Genomic DNA, 16,660 nt, shown 5'->3' with positions numbered 1-16,660 from the left:
TTGGAAAAAATGAATAGAGCTTCAGGAACACAGGCAGCAGATATTTAGCGATGACCTAGGTCTCAGATTATTCCAAGTGGTTGACGCATAGGACAAATTTAAAGAAATATAGTGCAGTCTTTTAAAAATACACTCGGGGTGGCAGTCAGAACTTGATCTCTGAAATTAATTTAGTTGAATGCCTAATAAACAAAACAAAATGAAGAATCAACATTGTTCGGAGGATTAGTATAGGAAAAATTCTGCCCAATATAACCTCCAAAATATCCATGATATAATCCAAAATTACTAAACAAAGAGCTAGAGATACCAGAGCAATCCTCAAGAAAAAAAGGCAATCAGATTCAGAACCTGAGAAAGCTGAGATTTTATAATTATTAGAGAAAAACTTTAAAGTGGTCATTGTAAATATGCTTCATTAAATTAATAGAAAGAAGCTCTCAACACAGAAATCATAATTATAAAAAATAAGAAAATGGAACTGTCAAAATAAAATATAAGTGTCTGAAATTTTTAAAAAATAACTGGGCTCAATTATAAGATGGAGATGACAAGAGGAAGGAATCACTGGACTTGACTGATCAAGAATGATCTATTAATCATTCTATTGATGAATATAATGTATTCAATCTGAAGAAGAGTACTATAAGCTGAATGTTTGCATCCCACCAAAATTCATATGCTAAAATTCTAATCCCCAAGGTGGCAGTTTTGAAAGGTAGGGCCTTTTGAACGTGATTAGGTCATGGAGACAGAGCTTTCATGAATGAGATTAGTGTCCTTACAGAATTCTACCCTAAGAAAATATATTTCAGGAATGAAGAAAAAATAAAGACTTCCTCAAATAATAATAAAGTAAAAGAATTCATGAGCAGCAGAGTTTCTCTAAAAGTACTGCTAAAGGAAGTTTTTCAGACTACAAAGAAATAATACCAGAGAGAATAATAATGGCCCGCTCAAACACATACATATATATGTGTATATACATACATTCATACATACATAAAATCTTGAGGTGAAGTTTATAATGTATGCATACATGATAATGGTGATATAAAGAGCACAGGACAAAGGAAATAATCTTTATAGTTGCTTACCTTCTATATTTTAATCAAAATGGTACAATCTGCATAGTAAACAGACTATAAAAAGTTTGATATGTATATTATAATCTGCAGGGTAACCATATTCTGTAAGTCAATATATAATTTAAGACTATTCAAATAATCAGATGGCAGAGAAAATGAAACTGTAAAACAAAATTAAGAGAGAAAAGCAAAAATGAATGATAAACTTAGTAGAATTAAATTCAACCATATCAATACTTTTATTAAATAGTAGTGGTAAAAATACTCCAGTTAAATGGCAATATTACATTTAAAATGCCCAGGATAAATTTCAACATAGATACTACAGTAGATTGGATATATGCTGCCTACTAAAAGATACAATTTAAGCATAAAGATACAGATAAATCAAAAGTAAAGAAACAGAAAAAGATAAAGCATTCATATAAGCAGCATAATAATACCGAAATAACTTTTAAAATCTAGATAAACAAGACTTCCAAGCAAAGTATTTTACTAGAGATAAATAAGGACACATCATAGCAATACAAAGAAAAATACACAAGAAAGGCTTAACAATAGAAAATGTATATGCATCTAATAATACAGGCTCACATGAGGCAACAATTGACAACATAAAGGAAGAAATGGAAAATTCTGCACTTATAAGTAGAAGATTTTAACATGCTCTGGAGCTGTAGAGAAAATATTTTTTATGTTTATGCATAATTAGGACTCTGAGCAAACTACACTAAAACTTGGAAACTGAGCTAAAAGAACAAGCCTTGGAGGGTAAATTAGGACTATTTAGATGGTGAAAGAACTCCAGTGCAATTTATCTCTCTCGTGGTAAATCTTCATATTTTAAGTGGGGATAAGTCTAGAATCACAGGAGACACTTTCGGTTTTAAAGCTGGAGTTGGCACGGTTGTTTATAGTTACTCTAAAAATTCATACCTTTGCACATCTTTAAATAGATGTGATTATTAGCAAGGAGACTCAACTTTTCTGCTTGAAGTGGCTACTGTAAATTATATCTTCTTAGATTAATGCATATTAATCTAGGTTAGATTAATTTTAGAAGTAATATATCAGTTTTTGTGGCAAAAAGATTAGTAATTGTCAATGAAGTTTGATATGCTAAAATATAGACAAAAGATTAAATGAACAAGTACAGTCGTTTATATTTTAGCATATCATACTTCATCGGCAATTCAATTTGTTCTACAACACAGAGACAGAAGGAATATTTAATAATAAAGAGAGGAGTCAAAGGGGATGTTTTTATTCATTTCATAATTTAAATACATGTGATTATATGTAAATACATTTGATTCTCCTTATAAACAAAGAACATTTGCTGTGGCCATTAAGACTAATTTACACATATAAATCTAAGTTACATGAGTATCAAAGTGGAAGTCTCAGTAGCTGGGGTTTATAGGGACACTCATAAGAATGCAATATCTTTATAGGAGCTTTAACACCTAGAGATGGTTAGAACACTAATCAAAATTATTCAAGAAATCTTCGAAATGAAAACTATTCCTGTTTAATGACTAATAGACTCTGTATCTTACCTTGTATCCTAAATACAAAACTGTTTTCACAAGGTTAGATTTCTGGGAAAGTGGGTCATTTAAAATATTGCCATAAATTTAGAAATAAGCATGAGAAACATTTTTAACAGTCATGAAAATGAAATATATAAGAATTACTATTTGAAACAATGGAAGTAAAATAAATTGCTGTATATATGTTTGATGTGACTTGGCTTTGTCCCCACCAAAATCTCATCTTGAATTAGCTCCCATAATTCCCACATGTTGTGGGAGGGACCTGGTGGGAGGTAATTGAATGATGGAGGTGGGTCTTTCCCATGCTGTTCTCCTGATAGTGAATAAGACTCATGAGATCTGATAGTTCTATAAAGGGAAGTTCCCCTACACAAGCTTTCTTGCCTGCGGCCATGTAAGGTGTGCCTTTGCTTCTCCTTTGCTTTCTGCCATGACTGTGAGGCCTCCCCAGCCATGCGAAACTGTGAGTCAATCAAAACTCTTCCTTTATAAATTACCCAGTCTCGGGCATGTCTTTATTAGAAGCATGAGAATGGACTAACACAATGTTTTAAAGCCAACAGATTGAAAGTGGTATTTAAGCTATGGTAAATGGACCAAAAAATATGAAAACAGGCAAATACTCTTTCTTATCTGAAGACATTTATAATTAGTATAAACAGATCTATAACTCAACAAAAGCCCCTGAGGATATTAGAGCATTTGTATTTTGAACAAGAGCTCTGAATCAACGTGAGTGGATTCAAGAATATTCAGTGTGCTGTCTTTAAGCTTAAGTAATGAGGGATTTTACATTGTTTAAGATGAGGAAGTGATATTTTCTACTGTTCTTTTATCTGTTTCTCTTAAGAGATTTTTGGCTATAAGTATTGGAAAAGAAAAGGGTCAGATGGCATAGCACATAAGCATGCAGTTCTCAATTTGGCTGTTGACCATTCTTGTGATTCTTCTTCCTATATTGCTCTGCTATTATAGCTGGAACATGATAGAAAAAGTAATGACACATGCACCATTTAGGCACCAAAAGTCCAGTGGAAGAGGAGACTTTCTTCTCATGTATCTCTTTTGTCAAAATGAGGACATTTTACTGACTCGTAAGTCAATTGCTGTTATGAAGTAAAAGTCTACTATATTGAACTATCTGATTTTTTTTCTCGAGATGTGAGTGATCAAAAATATTTCTATCTAGAAAAGAAAGGCAAGCAATTGTTATTATGCAGTCAACTATAACTGGCAAATATGTTGTCACAATAAAAACTAATATATAAAGATTTTCAAACTATAACTCTGAAATTTTATGGTAGAAATGAAACTCAGAATTGTGACTGATAAAATTAGAAGAAATCTTGGAATAAAATTGTAGCCAAAATCAGACAGTAAGTGAATAATTTTAGATAAATAAAATTGTGGAAATCTCAAAGAGCCATCAAAGTAACAGAAATGTTGTAATCCATAAGGAGTTTAAAGCCAGAAGACATTTATTTTTTTATTCATGCATTTACAGCATTAATATATCTATTGTTTATATTATGTATAAGCTATTTTCTTGAGCACTTACATTATAGGAGACACATATCCACAGCATTAGTTAATCAATAGTGAAGATGTGTATTATTTCTGCCTAATTTTTGGTCTAGTGATGAATAGAGTCTGAATAAAAGAAAAGAATAAAAAAAGAAAAACAAACTGTAAATAAATAATACAGACATTGTGCTGATACACAGATAAAGAGCTCCTTTAAATAGTAATGTCACTGAGGACCTCTCAGAGAATGCAGCATACATGCTTAGATCAAATGACAGAGAAAGTATTATCTATTCAAAGATAATCAGTGGGGAAAATGTCAGAAGAGAAAATTTATACAAGAATGGCAAGGAAGAGAAAGAGCACAGAAGCAAATAACTGAATGAATTTGGTACTGAGATTTAGTAATCAGTGAACATAGTGATTTATGAAGAAGTTAGAGAGATTGCAGAATCTAGATTATTGAGGACATAGACCAACATAAGCAGTTTGGATTATATTCTAAGCCAATGGGAACCTGGAAGGTGATATGAAGGTAAACCAGAAAATAAATATGGGAATCTTAAAATTGGGACAACTTTGTATTATGGATAATACACATGTGAATAAAGTTCTTGTCTCCTTTTTCTTCTTCTTCTCCTCCTCTCCTTTCCTTTTCCTACTCTGTTTTATTCTCTCCTTCACTGCCTCTTTATCCTCTCCCCTTTCTCTTTTCTCCTTTTTCCTCTCTCCCTTTTTCTCCTTTCCTTTCTCCTCCTTCTTCTATTGCTGTCCCTCCTTTTCTTTTTGTTTCTCTTTAGCAGATGTAAGTCTAGGAATTTTATCAATCTGTGAATGAAAACTTGTTAGTTTACTGTTTATTATTAAGAAACCTGGGATTGTGTAAGCAGGATACCATAAGACCATTGATTTATAGGGAATGGCATCTCCTTTCCTGACAGAAATGCATCCTAGAGGGGTCAATTACAGTTATATACAAACATTTCTCTGCCAATGCTAACATTCTTTTACATTTATAAAAAGCAATGGCCACAAAAGCCAAAACTGACAAATGGGATCTAATTAAACTAAAGAGCTTCTGCAGAGCAAAAGAAACTACCATCAGAGTGAACAGGCAACCTACAGAATGGGAGAAAATTTTTGCAATCTACTCATCTGACAAAGGGCTAATATCCAGAATCTACAAAGAACTCAATCAAATTTACAAGAAAAAAACAAACAACCCTATCAACAAGTGGGTGAAGGATATGAACAGATATTTCTCAAAAGAAGACATTTATGCAGCCAAAAGACACATGAAAAAATGCTCATCAACACTGGTCATAGAGAAATGCAAATCAAAACTACAATGAGATACCATCTCACACCAGTTAGAAAGGCAATCATTAAAAAGTCAGGAAGCAACAGGTGCTGGAGAGGATGTGGAGAAATAGGAACACTTTTACACTGTTGGTGGGACTGTAAACTAGTACAACCATTGTTGAAGACAGTGTGGCAATTCCTCAAGGATCTAGAAGTAGAAATACCATTTGACCCAGCCATCCCATTACTGGGTATATACCCAAAGGATTATAAATCATGCTGCTATAAAGGCACATGCACACATATGTTTATTGCAGCACTATTCACCATAGCAAAGACTTGGAACCAACCCAAATTTCCATCAATGACAGACTGGATTAAGAAAATGTGGCACATATGCACCATGGAATACTATGCAGCCATAAAAAAGGATGAGTTCATGTCCTTTGTAGGGACATGGATGAAGCTGGAAACCATCATTCTCAGCAAACTATTGCAAGGACAAAAAACCAAACACCGCGTGTTCTCATTCATAGGTGGGAATTGAACAATGAGAACAGTTGGACACAGGAAGGGGAACGTCACACACCAGGGCCTGTCGAGGGGCGGGGGAGGGGGGAGGGATAGCATTAGGAGATATACCTAATGTAAATGACGAGTTAATGGGTGCAGCACACCAACATGGCACATGTATACATATGTAACAAACCTGCACATTGTGCACATGTACCCTAGAACTTAAAGTATAATTTAAAAAAAAAAGATTTTCTGTTAGTGAGTTTGGGGATTTAAGCTATCACTGGGATGTGGAAAACCTGTCAGCCCTCACTAATTAGCACAACTAAAAGTATTTGTTCATGGCTTCGGTTCTAGAGCTAATATTATTTCTACCACTGAATTTGTGACTGAATGACCATTACTGAGATTGTCTTTACCACTGAATTGCCCACTGATTGGAATTCCTATATATCGGCATATGTGCACAGATTATCTACCAAGGAGAGTCCCCTGAGAGCATTTATCTTGTAGCTTTTATTATCTTCCTCAACACCATTGGAAATAGAAGAGGATTTAGTTCTGAATAGTGCTCAAGAACTAGTTTGGAATCGAACCACTACATATCATCCACACTATATTAGAAATTGAGCATAATAAGGGACTAGGGCAATTCACTTTTGTATAAAACCTATAGTAGCTTATTACCAATAAGAGACTAGGCATTCAATATATTTGTTGATTAATGAACAGATTTATCAAGCAATAAGTTTTATCTTTCAATGAATATAAAGAATAAATACATTGTCATAATTGTCAAATCATATAGTAAATCCATGATGACTCTGCATTTTACTTTCCTGAATTTTCAGAAAATAGGGGAGTATTCACACAAAAGTAAAATATTTGAGGAGACTTTGAAGCGTACCTAAAAAGTATCCAAAAATGAGAGTCACTGTGGTCTGAATGTTTGTATTCCTCCAAAATTCATATGTTAAAATCCTAACACTCAAGAGTGTGATATTAGGAAGTGGAGCCTTTGGAAGGTGATCAGGTCGTGAGGATGGAGTCTTCGTGAATGAGATGAATGCCTTTATACAACAGACACAGAGGAGTTTGTTTTCCTCTTCCCTTTTGTGATTATACAGCTACAAAGCTCCATCTATGAGGAAAAGAGCCTCACCAGACACCAATTCTACCAGCGACTCGATCATGGACTGTGAGCCTGCAAGACTGCGAGAAATAAATTTTTATTGTTTATAAGCTCTCAGTCTATGTTAATTTGTTAAGGCAGCTGAAACAGACTAAGATAAACATCTGTAAAGATTTTTACATGTATAATCAGGATATTTAGTGGAAGACAAAATTCCACATGATACTTGTCACTGACAAATAAACAGTGGTAAATGTCTTTCCACAGTCCCAGTGATAACTCTAGGCCTATTAATCGCGCCTAGAAGGAGCTTGTTCACATATTGAGCACTCCAACTTTTACAGCTTCCACCCTGAAAAGGACTGCATCCTAAACCTCCTAGCACTGGGAACAGAGGAAACGAATTATATGCAAGTCTATCTAGACCACGGGTGGCAGCGGGGAAGTGGCATTGTATATGGATTGCAAGTACTTTCAGGGGTTTCCTCCTTTAGACCAGTGCAGAGAAGGGGCTTTAAGAATGCAGCTCCCTGTTTATGCCATGCATCCAGTGCCTGCAACTTTTACAGCCACCTCCATCCTAAACCTCTTATCTCTGGTACTAGGCGTATGGGAGTCTCCTCAGCTTGACACTCAGGAGCCTTTCCTCCAGGCTGCTCACTGATAAATCCAGTTCTACTCATTTTTCCTGGTAGGAGCTTGACCACACATCAAGTACCACAACTTTTCTAGCTTCCATCTGAGGGACTAACTCCTTAGCAACTTAGCTATGAGAGATAGGTCTTGCATTACTGGGTGATCCTAGACCACAGAAAAGAGATAGGTGGACATACAATGGGCCCACTCCAAGCAGACATCTCCCCAGAATTAGATTACAGCCTGAAGACGAGTACGGGCATTTGCAATTGATTCCATTCCCGGCTTAATGCGGAGAGAGTGAGCAGTAAATGCTATGCTAAACTTCATTGCAAAGGTAGAAGGGATTAAAACACACATACTACACTTCAATCTTTCCACCTATATCTAGAGAGTCTGGCTCCTATCTTACTGGTCTTAGAATATTGACAGGATGTGGCGCATCCTAAGCTCCAAGAGACCACCAAACAGACAACAGTTTGGACCAAAAAAAAAAAAAAAATGAGAGGCACATTAAAATATCTGATCAGAGGGATTGGTGAGATTCTTCTATACAGTGCCAGTGCAACAAGACTGGTAGAGTCTTATGTAATGTGCAGAAACCAACACAGAGAGTCAATGAAAATTTTTTTATAAAAGGAATATATTCTATATAAGAGAAAAAGAGAAATCTCCAGAAGCTGAACCAAATAAAGTGGGAATATGTAATTTACAAAACAGGTAATTCAAAATAATGACCATAGTGCTGCTCACCAGCGTTAGAAGAGCAATGCAAAAACAAACTGAGAATTTCCTCAAAGAGATAGGCAGCATAAAAATTAGCAAACAGATATCATAGAGGTAAAGAGGAGTATAGCTGAACTGAAAAATTCAATAGAAGGGTTCAATAGCAGACTAGATTAAGCAGAAGAAAGTGTCAGTGAACTGGAAGACAGGTTACTGAAAGTCTTTCAATTTGAAAAGAAAAAAGAAAAAAATAAAGAGAGTGAAGATAGTTTAACAGGCATTTGGGACACCATCAAGTGTAACAACATACCAGAAGGGGAAGAGAAAGCGACAGTAGACATTGTCAAAGAAATAATGGCAGAAAACTTCCCACGCCTGATGAAGGAAATAGAAATCCAAATCCAGAAAGCTGAAAGGGCCAAATAAGATCAATCTAAAGAGATCCACACAGAAACTCATAATAATCAAGTTGTCGTAAAAATTTGTCAAATAACTTGAACATACAGAGAGTAGAATGGTGGTTATCAGAGGCTGTTGGAGGGAGGTGAGAGTGTATGGTGAAAGGGAAGCCATTGGTCAATAGGTACAGAGTTTCAATTAGTTATATTTCCTATAAGTTCTGGTGTTCTGTTGCACAGTTTAGTGACTGTAGATAGTAGTAATGAATTCTGTATTTCAAAATTGCTATAAGGATCTTAAATGTTCTCACCACAAAGAAACGACAGATATTTAAGTTGATAGGTATGCTAATTAGCTTGATTTGATCATTCTGCCGTGCATACATGTATGAAAACATCACACTGAAATTCATAAACATATACAACTATTATTTGTTAACTAAAAAGAAAATAAAAGTAAAAAGCAGTTCACAGAAATTCATGAATAGTTTTAGTTACATGAGCCATTTAGATGGTAGGAAAAAGTTTGCATGGTATAACTTCTGTCTGTTTTAAAACGCATGATTAATTCTCAATTTAGAACAGGTGCTTGGTAATACAATTAGAATTACAGTTTCAATATATTTATCTCACTTTTTATGTGGAAATGAAATAATATATTGCTGTCAGTGCATTAAGTTATGGTAAGCAATTTGTCAGTAATAAATTTGGATAATATATCCAGACGAGAATTGAGTTTTACAATTCACTTTTGCAGCACGATTAAGCCCATAATGAACCATTTGATTCACTTGATCATAGTTTTATTTAGTATCCAGACTTAAAATAAGCCATATACATTGATTCAGTTACTCATATTATAACATCAATGTTTAAGTGACAATTCAGATTCTGCTGCAATACTTTTCAAAACATCGAATTCAGACATGCAAGACATATATATCAAGAGCTATGTGTCAGGCTCTGGGCTATCCTGAGTGCTAAATAATTTCTCACAAATATTTTAGAATTCAGAATGCAGTACTATAAAGACATTTTCTGAAGGGAAAAATGCATGTGAAACATCTGGGAGTGTGGGAATTGAGAAAAGGAGTCACCATATCCGTCTTTATTAGAACGTTTTTCTCTAAATTGATTAGCATAGCTACCCAAATTTTTGACTACACCTGCTATTTCTAAGAGTGCTCATCTCTTGATTTATTATGAAGCAGAAAAAAATATATTCCCACTCATAAGTTTTTAATCATTGCTCTGTGGGAAATGCTTTGCAGGTACTTTCTGAGAGTAGAAGTTGGATAAATAAAAGCAAGAAAACAAAAGAGAAAATCTTTGGTATGCATCAAATTGAGTTCTGTTTTAATAAACAGTTTTCACTGCACAGTGTCCAGTGTAAAGGGTGGTCAGTAATTACAAGGCTATTTCATAGTTTACAATGTACTATATGGTGTTGCACATTGCGATAATATCAGCCTTATTCCTTTTTATTTAATTCCCAACATGCACACACACACAGAGAAATGATGCAAAGATAACTGGCTTTGAGCAAAAAATTTAAGCAGAAAGGTACAGTTAGCATATTTATAACTATAAAAAGAGGGTTTAGCAATTTTGACATGGAGATATACAAATGATATTTATATTTTAGCTCCTCCTTTTAATATAGCTTTGGTTTCCATGCAAAATTTCAAGGGTTATGAAAAGTTAATGCCTACCAATCATCAGCATATGTTATGAAAGAGCTGAACAATAACAGGTAGAACCAAACGAAACATGTTCATTGAATACAGTATATTATCCATAGATTATATGAATGTGCTTCACTAAAACATATGCAATGGTAAGTGTATTGCTTTCCTAAAGCTACCATGATAAAATACTACAGACTGGATGGCTTAAGCCACAGAAATTAATTTTTTCACCATTCTAGAGGCTAGAAGCCCAAGATCGAAGCATTATCAGATTTGGTTTCTTCTGAGTGTTCTCAGCTTGCAAATGACTACCTTCTTCTCTGTGTCATCATATGACCTTTATATATGAGATCCCCTGGTGTCTCTCTGTGTGTCCAAATTTCCTCTAATAAAAACATTAATTAGATGGGATTAGGGCCCACCCTACTAGTTTCATTTTGTTACCCACCTCTTCAAAGGCCCTATCTCCAAATACGGTCACATTCTGAGATACTGGGGAAGTAGGGCTTCAACATATGAATTCCTGAAAGACATAATTCGGCCCATAAAAGTTAAGTAGCGTAATAACTATGTATAAAAACAGAATCTAGTATGACAAGACAATTGATTTTATGTTTTTTCTAATCTCTTAAACTTCATAATTATCAAGTCAACTTTGTATTTCATAGTCTAATAAGCTATTTGGATTCATGAGGAATAAGAATTTATTGAGGATTTTATGTCTTCTACTTCACAACAGGAATTTATGCTCAGGTTACATATCTTTGTTCTAATTGTTTAATCAAGGCAAAACATTGTGTTTAAATTAGCAAATACTTTCCCCTCAAAATAAATGTGTAGTATAATACAGATAACATTATTTGCTGATTTATCTCACTTAAAGCTGATGGCAGACACTTTCTAGTCCCAACATACAGATATTCAACATCTTACCTGTATGTTTTTATTCAGCCTAAAATGTATAACAAAACTGATCTTCGTATGTTCTATTGATGTCACTGTTTCTGCTCTTTCTATTCTGCTTCCTACGAAATGTGCTTCAAGCATGCTTTTATACTTGTTCTCTTCACTGGAAATATTTTTCAGTTTTCGATGACTGTTTCACTCAAAAAATACATAGACATAGACCCTCATCTTATAGCCCCACAGAGTGTTCACTTACGACACTAGAACCTTGATTTTAACTGCCATACGGTATTACATTAACCACGTAGCTAATAAAACCATACATGAAGGCTCTTTCTTTTTCTTGGGAAAGGCTTTCTTCTTTATAAAATTGTCAAAGGTCTAATGATAATATCATTGCACATATATGCATACACAAACATATATATATAATGATATCTGTAAATAATTTACACATGAATGTAAGGAACACTTTATGAGATAAAAGTTCTCATGTCAGTTACTTCTCTAGGACTGGTATTGACCAGTGTAGACTTACAGCTCTTAGCCTACAGACTCTGCTTTCCTGTTCAAGATTCTCTGCTGTGTGTCCCACCTCAGTCTTTACCCACACCATCCGCTTTGGGATGTCTGCTTCTCATTTCAGATATTTTAGTTACTGATCTGGGATAAATATTAAACTTGGCTGGTTAACCCCCAGGGTGCCCACGTAATTCTGCATCTCTCTTTCTCCTAACTCAAGCACATTCTCTCTCTGCTGTTATTTGCATTCTCCAAGATCAACATTGTTCTTTAAACCATAACACTAGGATAAACTTAAATCCTTCTTCATAGTAGAAATCTCTTTCTATCAAATTTTCCACCTTAAACAATTATATATTTTTGCTGCAGCACCAAAATATTTCCTATATACTATTGTAAAATATCTATAAATAATAATGGCTCAGTGTAGTAGCTCTGAATTATTTTCTTTCCAGAGTCCTTATGAAGAAAGCTGACTATGTTATTATGTTTTCAGAAAGAAAACAGCCCTATAAGCAAAAACCCACAGCTCACTTGAAAAGTTTATTAATAACCCTGGTAAGACAAACATTAAAGAGACTGATTAGCATCATCAACAGCTCTCCCAAAGATTAAAGGTGTGCTGGTACAGAGCAAGGTAACATCTTTTAACAATAAGCCACAATATGGAATTATATGTTAACTATATTTCCAATGGAGACCATTTTTTCTTGCATACTAAAATTGTATTAAACTTCAACTCCTAAAATAAGACTGCCATAAAGGAGAGAATTATGATGAAAATATATTCTTCCTAGCAGAATAATAGGGAAAACATTCATTTATTCCCTGTAGCTGTGGACAAGGATGCTGTTTCCATCGGTTTCTTCTGTCTGCTCTCACCAATACATGTTCTCTATTACTTATTTCAAGAAACCTGAAGCAATGAATTATTGTATATGCTTTAAAATTGGTGGTAGCATATATGTGTTGTTTTGTTTGTAAACTAAACACTTTCAAGAGAAAATAAATTTATCAGTTACTATTATAGAGCCCACAGAATCTTAATGAATGCCTAAGTAGCATGCTTTAATGACTCACATATCAAGCAAAGGATACCACAGACTGCTTCAGGGGAAGCATACTGACCCCAGCCAGTTCCAGGCACCAATACTGCAGCCTGACTAGCACATGCTGGCACCAGGCACTATTGCTACAATTACCACCAACCTGACCCTGAAAACATACTTTCAAGATAAAATAAATTTATCAGTTACTATTATAGAGCCCACAGAATCCTAATGAATGCCTAAGTAGCATGCTTTAGTGACTCACATATCAAGGAAAGGATACCACAGACAGTTTCAGGGGAAGCATACTGACCCCAGCCAGTTCCAGGCACCAATACTGCAGCCTGACTAGCACATGCTGGCACCAGGCACTATTGCTACAATTACCGCCAACCTGACCCTGAATGTGGAACATCACTGCAGCCATCCATGTCATGATAGTGAATCCCAAGTGCTGCTTACCTCTCCACATGACTGGTTTCCAGATTAAAGCTTCATGTGTAGATTCTGACTTGTGGAATCTGGGTCAAATCTATGCATCCCGGCAGGAGAAGCAAGTTTCTATATTTTCCTTCAGGAGACTTCCCAAACACAAAAAATATTTAATTGTGACATATGGCCAAAATAATGACAAATTTCAATTATATAGAGATGATGCAGTTGATATATTTAACTACTCCTTTGAATCTGAGCTTTAGTGGGGAACAGGGCAACAAAGTGGAATAATTAATCATTCTTTTATAACCTAAAAAGACAAGAGAAAGAGGAGTTGCAAATTAGTGTTCCCCATAGTTGCAGCATGTAGGAAGCATATTCTTTGAAAGGAAAAAACACTATGTGTGTGTGTCTGTGTGTGTGTGCGTGCATTAATAATTTCTTTTTCTTCTGAGAAATATAGTTGTTCTTTAGTATTCATCTGTCTCACTTATCCTAACTCACAGAGAATAAATATTTAAATTAAGTATGGGAAGCATATATAGAAAAGTTAGTTCTATTCTAGAGATTCCTATAATAATCAAGCTACAAAAGTCAGAATGGTTAATTGCCTCAATTCACAGAACTCCATTTCATATGGATTTAGTAAATAAATTGGGTTTTGTATTTTGACCCATTTGGAGTCAGTCCAGAATGAAGTTAGCTGTACTGAACTGTACTATCATGGAAAGGGAGGCAGGGAAAGAGATAGAGTGGATAAGTAAGACAAAGTATGCTAAGTACAAAAGTCCCATGAAGCTTGATTGCCTTCTATCTGTCTCTCTCTCTGCTGCTCTGAGTCATCACCCAGAATCTGACTGAAATAAGCATGATTTATAAAGGGCATATGGATAGAAGTTTATAAGTGAATATTTTTTAAAGTGTAATTTTACTGGTTTCAACAAGACATTGGATACATTTTTAGTTGCATTTTTTCCTGTAACAAATGCATTTTCTACTTTCTTTGCTGTTGCATTAGATAGAAAGTTGATATTAATATGTTACATTATACAATTTCCTTGCCCAGCTTTTATTTTAAGGCTTATTCCTGTTTTTTAAATGCATTATTTACTACATAGTCATCAGTAGAGTAGTAAGGAAACTTACTTCAATCAAAGTTAAGGAAGATACACATTTGTGGAGTCAAGTAGTTCACTAAAATGTCAAGATATGGTTTTCATACCATAAAAGGTGGCATAAAAACTTCAGAGATAATAATGTGTCCAGTTATATATTTATGCATGTTTACTATTCCTCTAAACACTTTTTTAAACCACAAATAGTTTTCTTATAATGATCTAAATCATGTTTTCAAATCCATTGTGCTAAAGGTCAGCAAATAATGACTTATGTCTCCTGATCCCCTTCCAACACAAAAATATGTGCCTCTTAGTGCATGCACACATGTGTTTAGCCATGTTTTTGGGCAAATTATTCCTCTTAATGATACTATGCAATGCTACATATAGTACCCACATAATAGAATGTTTCCCTTTCTTATGAGTTCAAAAAGAGTTTGCACTTCAGTGTACGTGTTCCAAATGTGTGGTTCTAAGAGGTTGTTATAATGTATGTGATGAATGATAGTTACATAAATGACAGACTCACATGGGTTTATTCTAGGTTCCACGGATGTCCTAGTGACCTTTGTGTATAAGCCTCTTGCCATGGATTTTTACTGCTGTCTCATTTAGATTAAAAACCATTTGGGGAAGTTTGTGTGTTAACATTTATAGTCACCCTACTGTGCTGTTGAACACAAGAACTTATTCCTTCTCTCTAACAGTATATGCATACCAATTAACCAACCTCTCTTCATCGCTCCCTCCTTGCTACACTTTCCAGCCTCTGAAAACTATTATTCTACTGTCTACTTCCATGAAATCAACTTTTTTTAGCTCTCACATATGAATGAGAACATGTGATATTTGTGTTTCTGTGCCTGACTTATTTCACTTAATGTAATTTCTATTAATTACACCCATGTTGTTGTACATGCCAAGATTTTCTTTTTATTGCACATATACACACAATTTTTAAATTCATCCATTTCACTGGTGGATGCTGAGGTTGATTCCATTTTTTGGCTATTGTTAACATGCTACAATAAACATAGAAGTACAGATTTTCATTCGTTTTGATATATATTCAGCAGTGAGATTGCCAGATCATATGGTAGTTCTAATTTTAGTTTTTTGAGGAACCTCCATACTGCTTTTTATACTGGCTGTACTAATTTAAATTTCCGCCAACAGTGTACTAGCCTTCCCCTTTCAACATATCTTTGCTAGCATGTGTTTTTTTTTGTTTTTTGTTTTTTGTTTTTATAATAGTCATTCTAACTGGGGTAAGATGATGATTCATTGTGATTTTGTTTTACATTTTCATAATTGCAAGTGATTTTGAACATTTTTTTCATATAGCTGTTGGACATTTGTTTGCCCTATTTTCAGAAATTTTTATTTAGATAATTTGCCCATTTTAACATTGGATTATTTGTGGTTTTTTCTTTTTGCTCTTCAGTTGTTTGAGTTCCTTATATATTCTAGGTACTAATCTTTTGATGACTGGATAGTTTTCAAACTATCCATCGGTGGCTTTATACATCATCCAAACTCTTACCTCTCACATACTCTGATCCACCATCAGCCCAGCAAAATATCCGTGGAAGCTTCAGGTGTAGCTAAGTGACTGATTATAGAAGGTAAGCAAAATGGTGCTGAAAGGAGATGTATATAATTTCTGTAAAAGATAGCCTGTAATTTGGTTTTAGTTTTTATTCTGCAATGGACTTCTTAATATGAAAACCTGTTAAAATAACTTCTTTACCTATGATAAATTTTACTAAATAAGTGAAAATAAAAATTATCAAATACATTAATAATAATTTTAAAATAAAATAATTACATAAAAGAGCAATTTGTAAGTTTTATAGTCTATAGTAATAAAATGCTTAAACACCTATAGAATGAACAGATTACTATCACACAATTTTAAATTTTCTGTGGAAAAAAAACCTAAGTAAAATTCCAGTCTCTGACTTTGCAAGACAGAAAGAATCAAAATATCTTGATTTTTGCTCATGCAGTTACTTCTTTATAATTCGCTCTTCTTTCTCTATTCTTTCCTAAAAAGATGTGGAC

The sequence above is a fragment of the Homo sapiens genome, chromosome 3, assembly GCF_000001405.40.
Source record: "Homo sapiens chromosome 3, GRCh38.p14 Primary Assembly".
Lineage (NCBI taxonomy): Eukaryota > Metazoa > Chordata > Mammalia > Primates > Hominidae > Homo > Homo sapiens.
Note: the sequence above shows the minus strand (reverse complement) of the source record.